The 17,329-nt window shown below is 37.9% G+C and overlaps 1 pseudogene across 1 annotated transcript; it reads left to right on the top strand.

Moving 5' to 3' along the window:
• The first annotated feature begins 1,670 nt into the window (after positions 1-1,670).
• On the top strand, positions 1,671-12,296 carry NCOR1P1 (NCOR1 pseudogene 1; annotated as a pseudogene). The gene is made up of 2 exons (NR_003678.1): positions 1,671-1,833; positions 12,041-12,296. The product of NR_003678.1 is annotated as an NCOR1 pseudogene 1 (transcript).
• The last annotated feature ends 5,033 nt before the right edge of the window (positions 12,297-17,329 follow it).

Here is a 17,329-nt window from a genome sequence, read left to right as displayed (position 1 = left end):
GGGAAATTGATCAATTTGTCATACTGAATTATTTTTTGAATTTGCCCTCTTCCCAAATACCTTGAAATGATGGAAAGAAAATTAAAACTTTACTAATAAAGTATTAAATGGGTGGAGATTTTATGTAAATAAAATTATATCTGTTATATTTTTATGTATACAATTATATAATTTTCATCTTATATTTAAATTCTATTTTTTAAAACCACCCAATTAGGTAATAATAGAACTCTGGTCTTAAAGTAAGAGTGTATGTGCACACATGCACATGTGTATATGTGTATATAAAATTTTTGTCTTGGGAGTTTTATATATAATTAAGATAGAAATTATATATTATTGCACACATTTTTATATATGTGTAATATTCTCTACCACATGTATGTAAAATATTCCCATATTAATTATGTATAACATAAATATTTGTGTTATCCTGAAACATAAACATAGATAATCATGTTTTAAGATTGGAGTACTCAGACGTATAAGGGTACCTGTTCTCCCATTAGTCAGTCTGTGAATTCAATATTTATGTGTTCTCATCCAGAATTTCTCTGGGACCTGACAAGCTGACTCTGATGCTTGTGTGTAAGAGAAAATGTGCTAGAATAGCTGGGAAGGTGGTGAAAGTAGCAGCAACAACAAAGCACAGTGAGGTGAAACTTGCCCTGCTGGATATGAAACCTCGTAATACTAGAGTAATTTGAAAAGTGTGGCATTGGCACAAGAAAAGACAGACAAATCAAATTAATCTAGAATAGTGGACAAGTAGGAATATACTTTATAATGAAGATGGCTTTATTTTTCTTTGTTTTCTTTTTCTTTTTTGAGATGGAGTCTCACTCTGTTGCTCTGGCTGGTGTGCAATGGCATGATCTCAGCTCACGGCAAACTCCGCCTCCCAGGCTCCAGCGATTCTCCTGTCTCAGCCTCCCAAGTAGCTGGGATTACAGGTGCATGTCACCATGCCTGGCTAATTTTTGTATTTTTAGTAGAAAAGAAGTTTCACCATGTTGGCCAGGCTGGTCTCGAACCCCTGACCTCAAGTGATCCGCCTGCCTCAGCCTCCTAGAGTGCTGGGATTACAGGAGGAGCCACCGCTTCTGGCCTTCTTTTTCTTTATCTGCTATTTCAGTTCCATAGAAGCATGCAAAGAGTAACATAACAAATGTCCATCTACCTACCATCTGTGATTACAAAACTTAGTATTTTATCATCCTTGCTTCAGAATTATTTAATAAAGACAATACTTCCTCTGCACAAATGCTTACCTTAAAACTACTCTTGAATTCTTTTCACAATTGACTTATCAACTCCCAAATTTAAAACCATGTATTTTTGTCTTTATATTCCTCAGACATTTGTAGAAAGGTATTTACTGAGCAGTTACTATGTGCCAGATATTATGCTGTTTTTATATACTGTTTTTACTTTATATAGCTAATTATATTATTTGTCACATATTAACCTATTTTAAATATAAAAAATGACACATTAATGTTTTCAAACCTTGGTAACTTTTATTAAGTAAATACTTGAGAGGAAGCTTTTACTGGTAATTGTGGTTTTATTTATGTAGCTATAGTTATAATTTATTAGAAGTACACTTGGTGTTTTAGTTCTTATTAATTCTATTTTTTTCCCATCCTGTTTAGATGTTTTCCTAGAAACATGATTGTTTATTGGCATTGATCTCACAGTCTGGTGAGGACTTCTTTACTGATAATGTCAAGTTCAGGTTACCCTCCCAACCAAGGAGCATTCAGCACAGAACAAAGTCATTATCCTCCTCACTCTGTAAAGTATACGTTTCCCAGCACCCACCACCAGCAGGTAAGGAACAAATACTATGCAAATTGCACATGTTTTTTGTGTTTTTCTTTACTTTTCCTATTTAATACACATGTTGGTAGAAACCACCAAATTTACCTTTTTTTTAAATGGCAAGAGCTATTTACAAAGATGAGGAACCAAAGGTTGGGAATTAATTATTTCTGTCTTCCTACTGTGGCTTTATGCCAATTTGAGGAGTTGAACTTGTCTTTGCTTTTGATGAAAGGAGTTGATGATAAATGGAAAACTTATCAATTCTCTAGAATTTCTAGGGTAAGACCTATATTTATACTCCCAAGTTGTGGTTGAGTTTTAAGCTGGCCAGATAACTTGGCATGTCTTGAGTGATGGCCAGGATAGACCTCTGTCTTCTTGAGAGATTGATGGTAGGAAGATTTGCATAGTAGGTAGGAAGGAAGGGATGGTAGATAGGAAGGAAGACTTTATCATAGGAAGAGTTTGTAAGAGATTGATTTACCTTGTGAAAAATAAAGTATGAGGTGAAATAATCATCTCAGAGTAGACCAAGGATATGGGTGTAAGAGGTTTAAAGAAAAATAGGAAAGGATGGGATAAAACGGTCATCTCAGAGACTAAGAAAGCAGATTTGTCATCAAAATGTACTACGGGGTCCTACTGAGGACTCCTTTGAAGTGTAGTCATGATTACAGAGTTAGAATGGACATTCTTGTTGTTCCTGTGTAGGGAGGCATTTAGTCTTTTACCATTACGTGTAATGTTAGTTGCACGTTTTTGTTGATGCCTTTTTTGGTTGAAGAGGTTGTTTTCTGTTCCTAGTTTGAGAATTTCTGTCATGATTGGGTGTTGATTTTTGCTTGTGTTGTCCCCCTACCCTGGTGTTACTCATCTGATTACCAATTTTCCGGATTATTGTTGCTGCTGTTTTTTTCATAAAATCAGGCTGGGCGCAGTGGCTCACGCCTGTAATCCCAGCACTTTGGGAGGCTGAGGCAGGTGGATCACTTGAGGTCAGGAGTTTGAGACCAGCCTGTCCAACATAGTGAAACCCCATCTCTACTAAAAATACAAAAAAATTAGCCAGGCATCATGGCAGACACCTGTAATCCCAGCTACTTGGGAGGCTGAGGCTGGAGAATCGCTTGAACCCGGGAAGCAGAGGTTGCAGTGAGCCAAAGTCGTGCCAGTGTACTCCAGCCTGGGCAACAAGAGTGAAACCCCATCTTAAAAAAACAAAATTAACTTTGCAGTTTAGTTTATATATATACACATATATCTATATTAGAATGCACTCATTATATGTGTACATTGTAACAAATTTTGACAAATTCATAAACTCATAGAACCATCACCAAAATGAAGATGAACAACATTTCTAACACTCCAGCACATTCCTTGGCACCCCATTCTCCTTGACACCCACCCATGTCAGTCCTCCTCCCCCACTTCCTACTAACCTCAGCTCCTAGGAAACCACTGATCTGCTTTCTATCATAAATCATTGTATACGTTCTGAGCTTCATGGGAACTCTTTTGTCTATGACCTTTTTTGCTTCCCATAATACTTCTGCTATCTATCCATGTCTGGAATGTCCCAGTTCATTCCTTTTTATTGTTGAGTATGGGTATACCACAATTGGTTTATCCGGTCAACTTTTCCAGTTTTTGATTATTATAGGTAAAATTACTTAGAAAACATATATCTATATATTTGTTGTATCTAGATTATTAGGAGAAACGCAGATCAAAACCACAATGAGATACCATCTCACACCAGTTAGAATGGCAATCATTAAAAAGTCAGGAAACAACAGGTGCTGGAGAGGATGTGGAGAAATAGGGACACTTTTACACTGTTGGAGGGACTGTAAACTAGTTTAACCATTGTGGAAGTCAGTGTGGCAATTCCTCAGGGATCTAGAACTAGAAATACCATTTGACCCAGCCATCCCATTACTGGGTATATACCCAAAGGACTATAAATCATGCTGCTATAAAGGCACATGCACATGTATGTTTATTGCGGCATTATTCACAATAGCAAAGAGTTGGAATCAACCCAAATGTCCAACAATGATAGACTGGATTAAGAAAATGTGGCACATATACACCATGGAATACTATGCAGCCATAAAAAATGATGAGTTCATGTCCTTTGTAGGGACATGGATGAAATTGGAAATCATCATTCTCAGTAAACTATCCCAAGAACAAAAAACCAAACACCGCATATTCTCACTCATAGGTGGGAATTGAACAATGAGAACACATGGACACAGGAAGGGGAACATCACACTCTGGGGACTGTTGTGGTGTGTGGGGAGTGGGGAGGGATAGCACTGGGAGATATACCTAATGCTAGATGACGAGTTAGTGGATGCAGCGCACCAGCATGACACATGTATACATATGTAACTAACCTGCACATTGTGCACATGTACCCTAAAACTTAAAGTATAATAATAATAAGTTAAAAAAAAAGAAATTAAGCCACTTTTCCCAAAAAAAAAAAAAGTATTGCCTCATTTTCTTAACAGTATCCTTTGGAGAGCGTACATTTTTTATTTTTATCAAGTCCGATGTACTTTTTTTTTGAGACAGAGTCTTGCTCTGTTGCCCAGGCTGGAGTGCTATGGTACCATCTCAGCTCACTGCAACCTCTGACTCCCAGGTTGAAGCAACTCTCCTGCCTCAGCCTCCTGAGTAGCTGGAATTACAGGCTTGTGCCACCATGCCCAGGTAATTTTTGTATTTTTAGTAGAGATGGAGTTTCACCATGTTGGCCAGGCTGGTCTCGAACTCCTGACCTCAGGTGATCCGCCCTCCTCGGCCTTCCAAAGTGCTGGGATTACAGGTGTGAGCCACTGCACCCAGTCCCAATGTATTATTTTTATTGTTCATTTTTTGTGCTTTTTGCGTCAAACCTAAGACGTTTTTGCCAAATTCAAGGTCACTAAGATTTTCACTTACGTTTTCTTTTTTTCTATTTTTCTTGTGTTTTGTTTTTGTTTTTGTTTTTGTTTTTTTTGAGATGAAGCCTTACTATGTTGCCCAGGCTGGAGTGTAGTGGTGCAATCTCAGCTCACTGCAAGCTCCACCTCCCGGGTTCACACCATTCTTCTGCCTCAGCATACCTAGTAGTTGGGACTACAGGGGCCCACCACCATGCCCAGCTAATTTTTTTTGTATCTTTAGTAGAGATGAGGTTTCACCCTGTTAGTCAGGGTGGTCTTAATCTCCTGACCTCGTGATCCACCCGCCTCAGCCTCCCAAAGTGCTGGGATTACAGGTGTGAGCCATCGCGCCCGACCAATTTTCACTTATGTTTTCTTCTCTAAGTTTTATAATTATAGGGCTTTCATTTAGGTAAATTACCTATTTTGAATTAAAATTTTATATGTGGTGTGGTAAGCATTGAGTTTCAGTCTTTCTGCATTAAGAATGATGTTAGCTTGGAGAGTGCTCTTTACTCCTGTGTTTTCTTAAGGGGTTTGTGTAGGATTGGTACTTTTCTTTGAGATGGAGTCTTGCTCTGTCATCCAGGCTGGAGTGCAGTGGTGCGATCTCGGCTCACTGCAACCTCCATCTCCCAGGTTCAAGTGATTCTACTGCCTCAGCCTCCTGAGTAGTTGGGATTACAGATGAGTGCCACCACACCTGGCTAATTTTTGTATTTTTTGGTAGAGATGGGGTTTCACCATGTTGGCCAGGCTGGTCTCAAACTTCTGAACTCAAGTGATCCTCCCACCTCAGCCTCCCAAAGTGTTGGGATTATAAGCATGAGCCACTGCGCCTGGCCTCTTTCTTGCTTTTTCTTTCTTTCTTTCTTTCTTTCTTTCTTTTTCTTTCTTTCTTTCTTCTTTTTTTCTTTCTTCTCTTTCTTTCTTTGTTTTTCTTTTTCTTTCTTCCTTTCTTTCTCTCTCTCTCTCTCTCCTCTTTCTCCTCTTTCTTTCTTTGAGTCTTGCTCTGTCACCCAGGCTAGAGTGGGCAATTCCGTGATCTCAGCTCACTGCAACCTCCTCTTCCTGGTTCAAGCAATTATCCTGCTTCAGCCTCCCAAGTAGCTGGGATTACAAGCACCCGCCACCATGCCTGGCTAATTTTTTGTATTTTTAGCAGGGTTTCGCCATGTTGGCCAGGCTGGTCTCGAACTCCTGACCTTAGGTGATCTACCAGCCTCAGCCTCCCAAAGTGCTGGGATTTCAGGTGTGAACCCACCACGTGTGGCTGGGATTGATATTTTTTCATCCTTAGATATTTGATAGAATTCATCAGTGAAACTGTTGGGCCCAGAATTTTTTTGTGTGGGAAGAATTTAAATATGAACTCAATTTCTTTAATAGTTATAATTGAGACACTCAATTTTTTCTTGAGTCAGTTTGGGTATATTTTGTTGTTTAAGGTATCAGATTTATTGAAATAATTTGTCACAATATTTCCTCATAATTTCAGTGCCTTTGAGATATGTTGCGATGTTGTTCCTCATGTTGATAATTTTTATTATTATTTTTTAATCAGTCCGCCTAGAGGTTTATCAGTTTAATAGATTTTTGAAGAACTAGCTTTGGTTTCAATCATTTTCACTATTTTTCTAATTCACTGATTTCTACTCTTTATTGTTTTTTTCCTTCTCTAGTTGCCTGTGTATATATCATTTCTGACATCCTTCATTCTTTTTTGTATTCAGGTTTTCTTCTGATATTATTGTGTTTTTGCCTGAAGCACTTCATTTCTCTCAGTTTAGGTCTTTTGGCAATTAATTCTCTCAGCTTTTATTTGCCTGAAAATGTTTTTATTTCTGAAGACTATTTTCACTAGATATAGAATTCTAAGTTGACAGTTTCAGTATTTTAAGAGATGTCATATCATTGTATTCTGGCTTGTATGGTTTCTGACTAGAAGCCTGTGGTCATTCTTAATTTTTGTTCATTAATATATAAAACACATTTTCCCCCCTGTGGCTACTTGTTTTTTTGAGGCATTCTTTCTCTGTCATTCAGGCTGGAGAGCAGTGATACAATCTCGGCCCGCTGCAACCTCCACCTCCTGGGTTCAAGCAATTCTCATGCCTCAGCCACCTGAGTAGCTGGGGCTGCAGGCATGCACTACCATGCCCAGCTAATTTTTTTTTTTTTAAGACGGAGTTTCACTCTTGTTGCCCAGGCTGGAGTGCAGTGATGCGATCTTGGCTCACCACAACCTCTGCCTCTCGGGTTCAAGTGAATCTCCCGCCTCAGCCTCACAAGTAGCTGGGATTGCACACATGTGCCACCATGCCCGGCTAATTTTGTATTTTTAGTAGAGACGGGGTTTCTCCATGTTGGTCAGGCTGGTCTCAAACTCCTGACCTCAGGTGATCCATCCGCCTCAGCCTCCCAAAGTGCTGGGATTACAGGCGTGAGCCACTATGCCCGGCCCCAGCTAATTTTTTGGATTTTTAGTGGGGACAAGTTTTCACTCTGTTGGCCAGGCTGGTCTCGAATTCCTGGCCTCAAGTGATCTGCCTGCCTAACATATTCTAATATTTTTCCCAGTGTCTTTTTGTTTCAATTTTTCTTTTTTTTTAAGCATACTGAAGTTTAAAATGTTTTTACTGCCATCAAATCTTTTTTCTATAATGTTTATTAACCTTTATGCCTAATTGCCCTTTCTTCCCTGATATCAAATAAATAAGTACCCCCACATTTTCTTTGAGTTTTCAGGCAATGAAGAGTAATTTAAAAGATAATAAATGTATCTACAATTTATTTTCAAATAGTTCAGCCAAAATGAAGTTTTATACACATACACAAACACACACAGAAAGCAAATATGTTAAAATGTTAACTACTGGTGAATCCAGATGAAGGATAAATGAGTGTCCACTATACTGTTCCTTCAACTTTTAAGTGAATTTGAAATTTTTTGGAATAGTAAGTTGGATGGGGAAAAATTCTTTGCCGTAAGCTAGAAATTAGCTAAGCTTCTAGGTGTTTTGTGACCCACCTTATCATGTGAAATATCTTTTATCATACAGTAGTCTGTGGGGTTTATAAGAAATGTTCTGCTGCATTAAAAAAAAGAAATTTAAAAATATAGTGAATAAAGGTCATCTTCCATGGCTGAATACATTACCACAAATGTAATTTATAGAATTTCGTTTTTTAGCAGAAAAGTGTCTTAAAAACTCATTCATTAAAATGAGACGTGTTGTGTTGTAGTGTGATGCATTTCCATGTTATAGTTGAGAAACTGGATGTTCAGAAAAATTAAGTGACCTAGATAGTACCTCCCGAGTTGGAATTAACCCAGGACCCCTGACTCTAGTCCTGCTTTTTTTCCTCTAAAGTGTAAACCATGACTACTACTACTAACTAATACTTCTCTTTCCATCTCCCTCTCCCCATTCTCTCCCAACTGCCCACCTCCAGAAGTAAGGATTTAAAAAGAACTAACATTTGTTAGATTTTTTTTTTAATGTTAAGCTTAGGTATATCATTTATAGAAGAGTTAAATAAGCTTGAAAGAAAAAAATTACCTACAGTTTTACCACTTAAAAGTTATGAACATTTTCATGTTGATTCTTCCCTATTTGTGTGTGTATGATTTAAATTTAAATTGAATTTAATTTAAATTTATGGTTTTTTTTTTTTTTTTTTCTGCTGCTCCTTGTGGAACAGGGCTAACCCCTAGGCAGTGTGTCCAGAGTCAGCCCGTATGAATACTTTAATGTGCTCACTTTGTACATTCTGTTTAACTTTACTTTTGCTTAAATACGTGCTTAGCTTCTTTTTGTGCCAATAAGTTTACAACTGTATTGTTAGTGGCTACTTAGAATTCCACATATGAATAAATAAAGTTCACTGTTTAAAGTTATTTATATAACTTTATTTAAATATAGTTATTTATTTATTTATTTCATGCCTGTAATCCCAGCACTTTGGGAGGCCGAGGCAGGCAGATCACCAGAGGTCAGGAGTTCGAGACCAGCCTGGCCAACATGGTGAAACCCCATCTCTACTAAAAATACAAAAATTAGCCGGGCATGGTGGCAGGCGCCTGTAATCCTAGCTACTCTCAGGAGGCTGAGGCAAGAGAATCTCTTGAACCCGGGAGGTGGAGGTTGCAGTGAGCAGAGATTGCGCCATTGCACTCCAGCCTGGGGGACAAGAGTGAGACTTTGTCTCAAAAAATAAAAAACAAAAATAAAAATAAATAAAGGTACCCACTCCTTCTGTATCCTTGCTGACACCACGCTTATTGTTTAACAAAAAGATTGTTAATTTGATGATTGTTTTTAACTTATACTTATTTGTTAGTAAAATTTAACATTTTTTTGTTTATTGGTTATTTTTCTTGTTTTGTAAATTATTTTTTCATATATGTTTCCCATTTTTCTGTTGGTTTATTTTATATTGAGTTGTTAGAGTACATGTTTTGCAATGGTTTTCCTATTTAATCATTTGCCTTTTTAATTTGTTATTACTGTTTTGATAAGCAGAAGATTGTGTTTTTGCATGTGTGGGTTTTTTTGTTTTGTTTTGTTTTGTTTTGTTTTCGAGATGGAGTCTTCCTCTGTCGCCCAGGTTGGAGTGCAATGGTGCCATCTCTGCTCACTGCAATCTCCGCCTCCCGGGTTCAAGCCATTCTCCTGCCTCAGCCTCCCAAGTAGCTGAGATTACAGGCTCACACCAACACACCTGGCTGATTTTTGTATTTTTAGTAGAGATGGGGTTTTACCATGTTGGCCAGGCTGGTCTCGAACTCCTCACCTCAAGTGATCTGCCTGCCTCAGCCTCCCAAAATGCTGGGATTACAGGTGTGAGCCATTGTGCTGAGCAGAAGACTGTTTTTTATTTTATCCATCAATTTTTCATTTTTGAAAACTAATGTCTTTTATATCTTTTGCTTTTGGCCTTCCTGAACCCAAGATAATGTATTCTTTTTTTTTTTAACTTGAGGCTTTTTGTGATTTGCTAATAAGCCTCTTATAAATGTTTGCTGTTACTTGGCTTTTTTTTATGTAAGATATGAGGTAAGAATCTAATTCTTTTTCTTCAGGATTGGTATCTGGCTGTTTCAACCCAAGATTGTAAGCTTCATGAAGGCAGATATCTTGTCTGTTTTGATCCACCACCCTATTCCTGTTATATAAGTAGGCACTTGAGGATTTGGTTTCTTATTAAATAATTAATATTTAGAAAGGAATTCAGTGGAAAATATTCATTTGTAATATTAATTCTTTGGGCATGCATCAGAATCACCTGAGGAGCACTTTTGAAGTCTGCTGAATCAAAATGTAATCTCTTTTGCTATTATATATGTTTCTGTAACACAAATTTACTCATATGCATATAGTGGGAGAATGAAATTAATGTATCATGAAAGTCCTGGTGGTTCACCAAAGATCTTTCTTTATGCATTAACATTTCTAAGTTCTCAGAAGTACGCTGTCTCATAATGAAAGAAAAAGGCTTCACAACACATGAAGACTTAAAAATATTTGAACATTCTGCATTTAGTTTTCATTTACTGCAAGTAGTAACTGACTTAGTGAATTTAGGAACTGTTGTGCTTTTCATAGTGTTAGTGAAGATTCGAGCACTGAAAAGACAATGTGAAGACAAATTTTCTTGTATGTTTTTTAACGTTGATAAAGGAGGGAGGGGGAGAAAAAGAGGTTGATAAAGATGGTTATATGCCAAATCTGACTTTTTTTTTCTTTTTTTTTCTGAGATGGAGTCTCGCTCTGTCACCCATGCTGGAGTGCAGTAGTGCAATCTCAGCTCACTGCAACCTCTCCCTCCTGGGTTCAAGCCACTCTCCTGCCTCAGCCTCCCGAGTAGCTGGGACTACAGGTGCCCACCACCACACCCAGCTAATTTTTGTATTTTTTAGTAGAGATGGGGTTTCACCATGTTGGTCAGGCTGGTCTTGAACTCCTGACCTTGTGATCTGCCCACCTTGGCATCCCAAAGTGCTGGGATTACATGCATGAGCCACCATGCCCGGCCACTGATATTTTATTTAGATGAAACGTACTGGTTTACTTTGGAAGCCAATGACCTCACGGATTTACATCTTAAGAGAGGGACATAAACTGTAGGGCTTAAAGCTGCCAAAGATTGACTGTATGCCAGATGCAAAGGATACTGGAGCTTTAACTCTATTAAGTTTATTAGAATTGTTATTGCTTTTATTGGTGCTTTCCTCACAGAATTTTTCAGGTTTTAGGGTATAGCCATAATTTATTTTCCCAGAAGGCCTCTTAGATTCAGTGCATACTATTAGAGAATATGAGGCTTTTCATCAATGTATACTAGCTGAAATATCTGTACTAAAGTGTTTTGAAGCAACTGTCCAGTTATCTCCTGTATGCATTCTTGGCTCAGAACTATTGACTTTTCACAGTTCCTTAATCATTATTTAATACATTTTAGGGTTCTGTAATCCTGTGAACCACCCTCATTGTAGGTTTCTCATAGTCTAAATAAAATTAGTACTCTAAAATTTATCTGTTTCATAATATTGCTTATATCTTTACAGCAGACTGGAAATTAATAGGGTGTGTGTGGATGTGTGTTGGAGGGTAGTGGATTTTGGGTGAAGGGGCTTTCATTCTGCTACAGCTCTGCTGATTTGGAGGTGCAATGGGATGTTTTTGGCTAAGGAAATGTTACGTATGCTGTAGTGTGGGCTTTATGAAAGTAGGCCCAGAGATAGTAGCAGCTGAAGTTCCCAGGTCACTTCTCTGACTTGTGTACCTCACTTTTGGTTTGGAAAGCCTGAAAACTTTTGATAGGAACACTTGGCCATGTTACAGTTGTTAAGTTGGGTGGACACACAAGTTTTACCTGGAATAATACTCTTTCCCAGCTAGTTGTTCAGACCATTTGAAGAGCCATTGCAAGGAAATGGCTGAGAAGTTGGTATCTTCCTTTGTCATGATTGCATTATTTACCTATAAATTCTCTATAATTTCAGTATTGTTACACTAGAGGCTGATCAACACTAACTCACCTGACTTTGTATAGCTTTTAGGCTCTTCAAAATAGTACAGGGTATATCTAAACTATAAAAGTGAGGTGAGAATTTGCATATATGTAAATATGAAAGTTACTACTAAAGGTTTCATTAGACACATAGTACACATGGCTCTGCTGTGGTTTAAAACTGACTTTTTCATTTAAGGCAATCTGGACTCTATTAGTGAGAAATGAATTGTTTTTCTTGGTTTTATTCTCTAAAGGATCCAGCATTTGGAGGCAAACATGAAGCTCCATCCTCTCCAATTCTGGGGCAACCGTGTGGAGATGATCAAAATGCTTCACCTTCAAAACTTTCAAAGGAAGAGTTAATAGAGTGTATGGATCGTGTAGATCGAGAAATTGCAAAAGTAGAACAGCAGATCCTTAAACTGAAAAAGAAACAAGTAAAAGTCTTCGTCTAATATATTCTAAGAATGTATGTTTTTCTCCCTACAGAAGATATTTTTGAGTTTTCCATATTTTGAAACTTTACATAAAAGGAATCATTCCTTATATATTCTGACTTGCTGTTTTTTGCTACCATTGTGGTTTTCTTACATTCATTCATTTTCCTTGCTGCACTGTCTGATTATATGATTGTAGAGAGTGAAATTTGTTTGTCCATTCTATTTTTGATTTTTTTTATAATCCATACAAACGATGGTGCTGGTTTTTGGTTCACATGTAGAGATTTTCCGTTGCATGTGCCCAGTAATGGCAGTGCTTGGCCCCAAGATTATGCACAGTGAACTATTTAATAGATGATACCAAATTTGCTAAGAAGTAACACCATTTTACATTCCCACTGGCAGCTTATGTGGGTACTGGTTTGTGCACATTCTTGCCTTTACTTGATATCATTTTTTTCAGTTGAATATGAAATAGTCTTCTGTGGTTTGAAAGGAGGCTGAGCTTATTTTCATTTATTTGTGGGTTATTTGGGTTCCTTATATGCATTGTTCAAGTCTTTTGTCTATAGTCTCCTATTTCATCATTGAAACTTTTAAGATTTCCTGAAGTCCCTTGTCAGATATGTGTATAGAAGATTTGCCTAGTTTGAGGCCTGTCACTTCACTTTTAGCCCAGTATCCACTCTTAAGTGTACACTAAGTGCATTTTTTTTTCTGGAATTGGAGTCTCACTGTGTCACCCAGGCTGGAGTGCAGTGGTGTGACCTTGGCTCACTGCAACCTCTGCCTCCCAGGTTCAAGCGATTCTCCTGCAACAGCCTCCCGAGTAGCTGGGACTGCAGGCGCTTTAAGTGCTTTTAATGTATTCATACAGTTGTACAGCTATCACCACTCTCTAACTCTAGAACATGTTTATCATTTCAAAAAGAAACTCCATACTTACTAGCAGTTACTCCCCATTTCCCCCTTTCCCCAGCCCCTGGCAACCACTAGTCTATTCTCTGTCTCTATGGACTAGCATATGCCAAATATCAGAAAAAGCAGAATCATATGTGACCTTTTGTGTTTGGCTTCATTTATTTAGCATGTTGTCCTGATTCATCCATGTTGTATCTTGTGTCAGCACTTCATTGCTTTATATGCCTGAATCCCATTGCATGAGTATACTATGTTTTGTTTATCCATTCATTAGTTGATGGATATTTGAGTTGTGTTCATTTTTTTACTATGATTAATAATGTACTGTGATGAGATTCATGTAATCATTTTTGTCTGGACGTATTTTTACAATTTTCTTTATATATCTAGGAGTGGACCTATGGTAAATCTATGTTTAAATTTTTGAAAAACTTCAAAACTGTTTTCCAAAGTCTCTGTACCATTTTATATTATTACCAGCAGTTTATGGAGGTTCCATTTTTTCCTACCTCCTTGCCAACATCTGTTATTTTTGTTTTTTAAAAAAATATAGCCATCCTTGTAGATGTGAAGTTGTATCTAGTTGTAGTTTTCACTTGCATATCCTTAATGACTAATGATGTTGAGCATCCTTTCGTGTGCTGATTGGCCATTTGTATATCTTTTTAGAGAAATGTTCATTTAGACTGTTTGCTCATTTAATTGGGTTGTCTTTTTGTTATTCTAAGAATTCTTTATATATTCTGGACATTAGTTCCTCATCAGATGTATGACTTAATAGATATTTTCTCTCATTCTGTGGGTTCTTTTCACTTTCCTGATGGTATCCTTTGATGTACAAAAGTTTTGAATTTTGTTAAAGTCCAGTTTGTTTTTTCCTTTTGTCACTCTTGCATTTGGTGTTGTATCTAAGACCCATTGACTAATTCACGGTCACAGATTTATACCTATGTTTTCTTCTACAAATTTTATAGTTTTACCCCTTATATTTGGGTCTTTGATCCTGATAGTGTTTTTTTGGTGAACAGAATTTGTTTAGGTTTTATATGAAAACCCACTGGGACTATTAAGGTAGTCTTACTATATTATCTTTAGAAGTTTTATGGTTTTGCTTCTCATCTTATTCTTAATCCACTGGAAACTACATGTTGTATAGTCAATGTTCATTTATATTTACTCACATATTTGTCTTCTTACGTACTCACCATTTCTTCTCGCAATTCAAGTCTTCCATCTAGGGGAACACCCTTCTAATGAAGAACATCTCTTAGAATTTCCTTTAGTGAAGGTCTTTTAGTTAGCAAATTCAGTATTTGTTTAGTTTTTATGACTTAAATATTGTCTTATATTTGGCCTGTTTAGTAAAAGATATATTAATTTCGTATGTGATTATTTTTTCTTAGTACATTGTCTCCTTGCTTCCATTTTTAAGACATTAGCTCTTGGTCTAAATCCATATTCTTTCATGGATAATGTGAATTTTCTCTCTGTTTGTTTTCAATATATTCTTTTCTTCAGGGTTCCGTTATTTTTATGATGATACATTTAGGTGATTTTTTTTTCCCTTTTAAATTGAGCTTCCTGAATATGAAGGGTGGAGTTTTTCATCACTTTGGGAAAATTCCAAGCTATTATCTTTTTTACAAAACCTTTCTAACAGTTTATTGTTCTACTTATGAAATCCTGTTAGTTGTAACATCTTATCATTCTTGTCTTCCATGTCTCTTGTTTCTTTCTTACTTTTTACTTCTTTGGGCTTCATTCTGAGCAATTTCTTCAGCCTGTCTTCCAGTTTACATTTTCCTTTTCAATTATATGTAAGCTGCTGTCAAATCTGTCTTCAATTTCAACAATTATGTTTTTATTTCTGGAACTTCTGTTTGGCTCCTTCTCAAATCTGCCTGGTCATTTTTTAAAATGTTTTTTTTCATTTCATTGAGTTGTATTAAATTTTTATTATATGCCCAACAATTCTGATTAAGTCTTTATTGGTTTGATTTTGCTGAGTCTCTTTTCTTTTTTTTTTTTTGTCTTTATTTTCTTTACTTGTACAATGGTAATAATCTAGTAATAACACCAACTAAATCACATGATTGTTTTATGAATTGAGATAATGAATATATTCATTATCTCATAATATGTGGTACATAGTAAATGTACATGTGATCCATTATAATAATTAGAAATAATGAAATATAATGTATGATTATTATGAAATGTACCAGAGCCACAAATTTTATTGAGTGATATAAAAGACAACTAGAGAAAAAAAAGAAATATGCCATAGCTAGATGGAAACAGTAATAATAATGTTGTGTCTTCATCTTTGACTAAATCATGTCTCATAAAATTTCAATAAAATTCCAATTAAATTTATTTTTAAAACATGGCAAATACATTGTAAAGTTAATGTAAAAGAACAAACAGGGCCAGGCCCAGTGGCTCAACCTATAATCCCAGCACTTTGGGAGGCTGAGGTGGGCATATCACGAGGTCAGGAGATCGAGACCATCCTGGCTAACACGGTGAAACCCCATCTCTACTATAATACAAAAAATTTGCCGGGCGTGGTTGTAGGTGCCTGTAGTCCCAGCTACTCAGGAGTCTGAGGCAGGAGAATGAAGTGAACCCAGGAGGAGGAGCTTGTGGTGAGTGGAGATCATGCCACTGCACTCCAGCTTGGGTGACAGAGCGAGATTCCATCTCAAAAATAAAATAAATTATAAAAAGAAAAAGAATTTGTGTCGTTTCCTCATTAATGTTGGTTGAAAGCATGTTTGCACTTGTCTTTGACTTATATTTTATTAACATCGATTGGCATATTAAAAGTCCCTCTGAGCTTACCTTCTCTAAAAAAATGTAAGAAAAAGAGCCTGTGGGAAGGACTGTGAGGCAGAGGGGCTGGTGTGAGCACATGCTGGGCAGGAGGAAAGAGGTAATGACCAGGACCAGGGAAATCCCCAAACCCAGCAAGTCAGGGAGCCAAATGAAAGCCTTTCATCCTGTATCGGCCACCTAACCCCATCGATACTACAAGTGAACATTTTCTTTTAGAGATACTCATCGTCCTGTTTTTTCTGTAATCTTGGAATCTGATTTCTCCCATTAGCCTTTCACAGGACTAAAATTTCACATTAGAATGCTATTCTTTAGAAGGCATCTTCTTAGATTAGGCTGCAAGGAGATTGAGGAAGTTACTGTCAGTCACTTATACCCCACAGGGACATTAATTCACCAGAGCTTTGGTGGGGGAGTAGACGAGCTCATTACAAGCAGGCCTGGATGCTGCACAGAGTGTAAAGGGGGCAGAAGGATCCAGGACACCTAGGCCTGGAGATAGCGCTAATGCTGGGAGGTACCGTTATTATCCCCATTTTACAGAGGAGGAAACAGACACAGGCAGGTAATGTGATCAAGACCATGCTGCCGCGCAGTACAGGAGCCAGGATCTAAACCCAGGCAGCCTGCCTTGCCATCAGAGCTCTCACCCATAACCTCGTGCTGCCGTTAAGCAGGATTGCCCTGTGGCCAGGGGCACAGCTTCTAGGTTCATGTTCCAGCTTCTCTACCATTTCCAGCTGTGTGACCTCGGGCAAGTTACTTGTCTGTGCTCAGTGCCCTCTGCATAGTGGGTATAGCAATACCTGCCTCATGGAGTCCCTTAAGTGAGTTAATAGCTGTAACATGCTTAGAATGGTGCCATGCACATCGTCACCATCCAGTACGTATGGGCTATCATGCCTGAATCCCAGATGGACACATATCCTTGAAGGGTCTAAAATCTAGGATCCTGAAATGCCTGGCACTGGGATCCTGAAATCCTCTGGCAGCATTCTAACATATTTTGGCTGCAGAATTGTACCCTGCTTCCCGGGCCTAGAAGGTGTGGGATCAGCTGCTTACTCAGTTCAGCCCCAAAGTAGGCAAAGAAGGTTTTGTCACAGGCCTGCCTGGGGCCCAGCCCCTGTAACCTCCCCTTGTCCCTCCCTTGCCTGCTCCCTCACCCAGATTCACACATGCACTCCAGGCCTTCTGGGCCCCAAGGGAAGGAGAGAGGGTGGGGATTGGGTTCACTGGTCCACCAAAGCATGCTGCCTCCAGCCCTGCTGAACTGGTGGGTCCAGGGAATAGGCCTGGAGCTGAAGGGGTCTTGCCCTCCCTTTACCTTTAAGCCTTTATTTG

Source organism: Homo sapiens, chromosome 20 (assembly GCF_000001405.40).
Source record: "Homo sapiens chromosome 20, GRCh38.p14 Primary Assembly".
NCBI classification, from domain to species: Eukaryota; Metazoa; Chordata; class Mammalia; order Primates; family Hominidae; genus Homo; species Homo sapiens.
The sequence above is the reverse complement of the archived record's forward strand: the minus strand, read 5'-3'. Positions and strand labels throughout refer to the sequence as shown.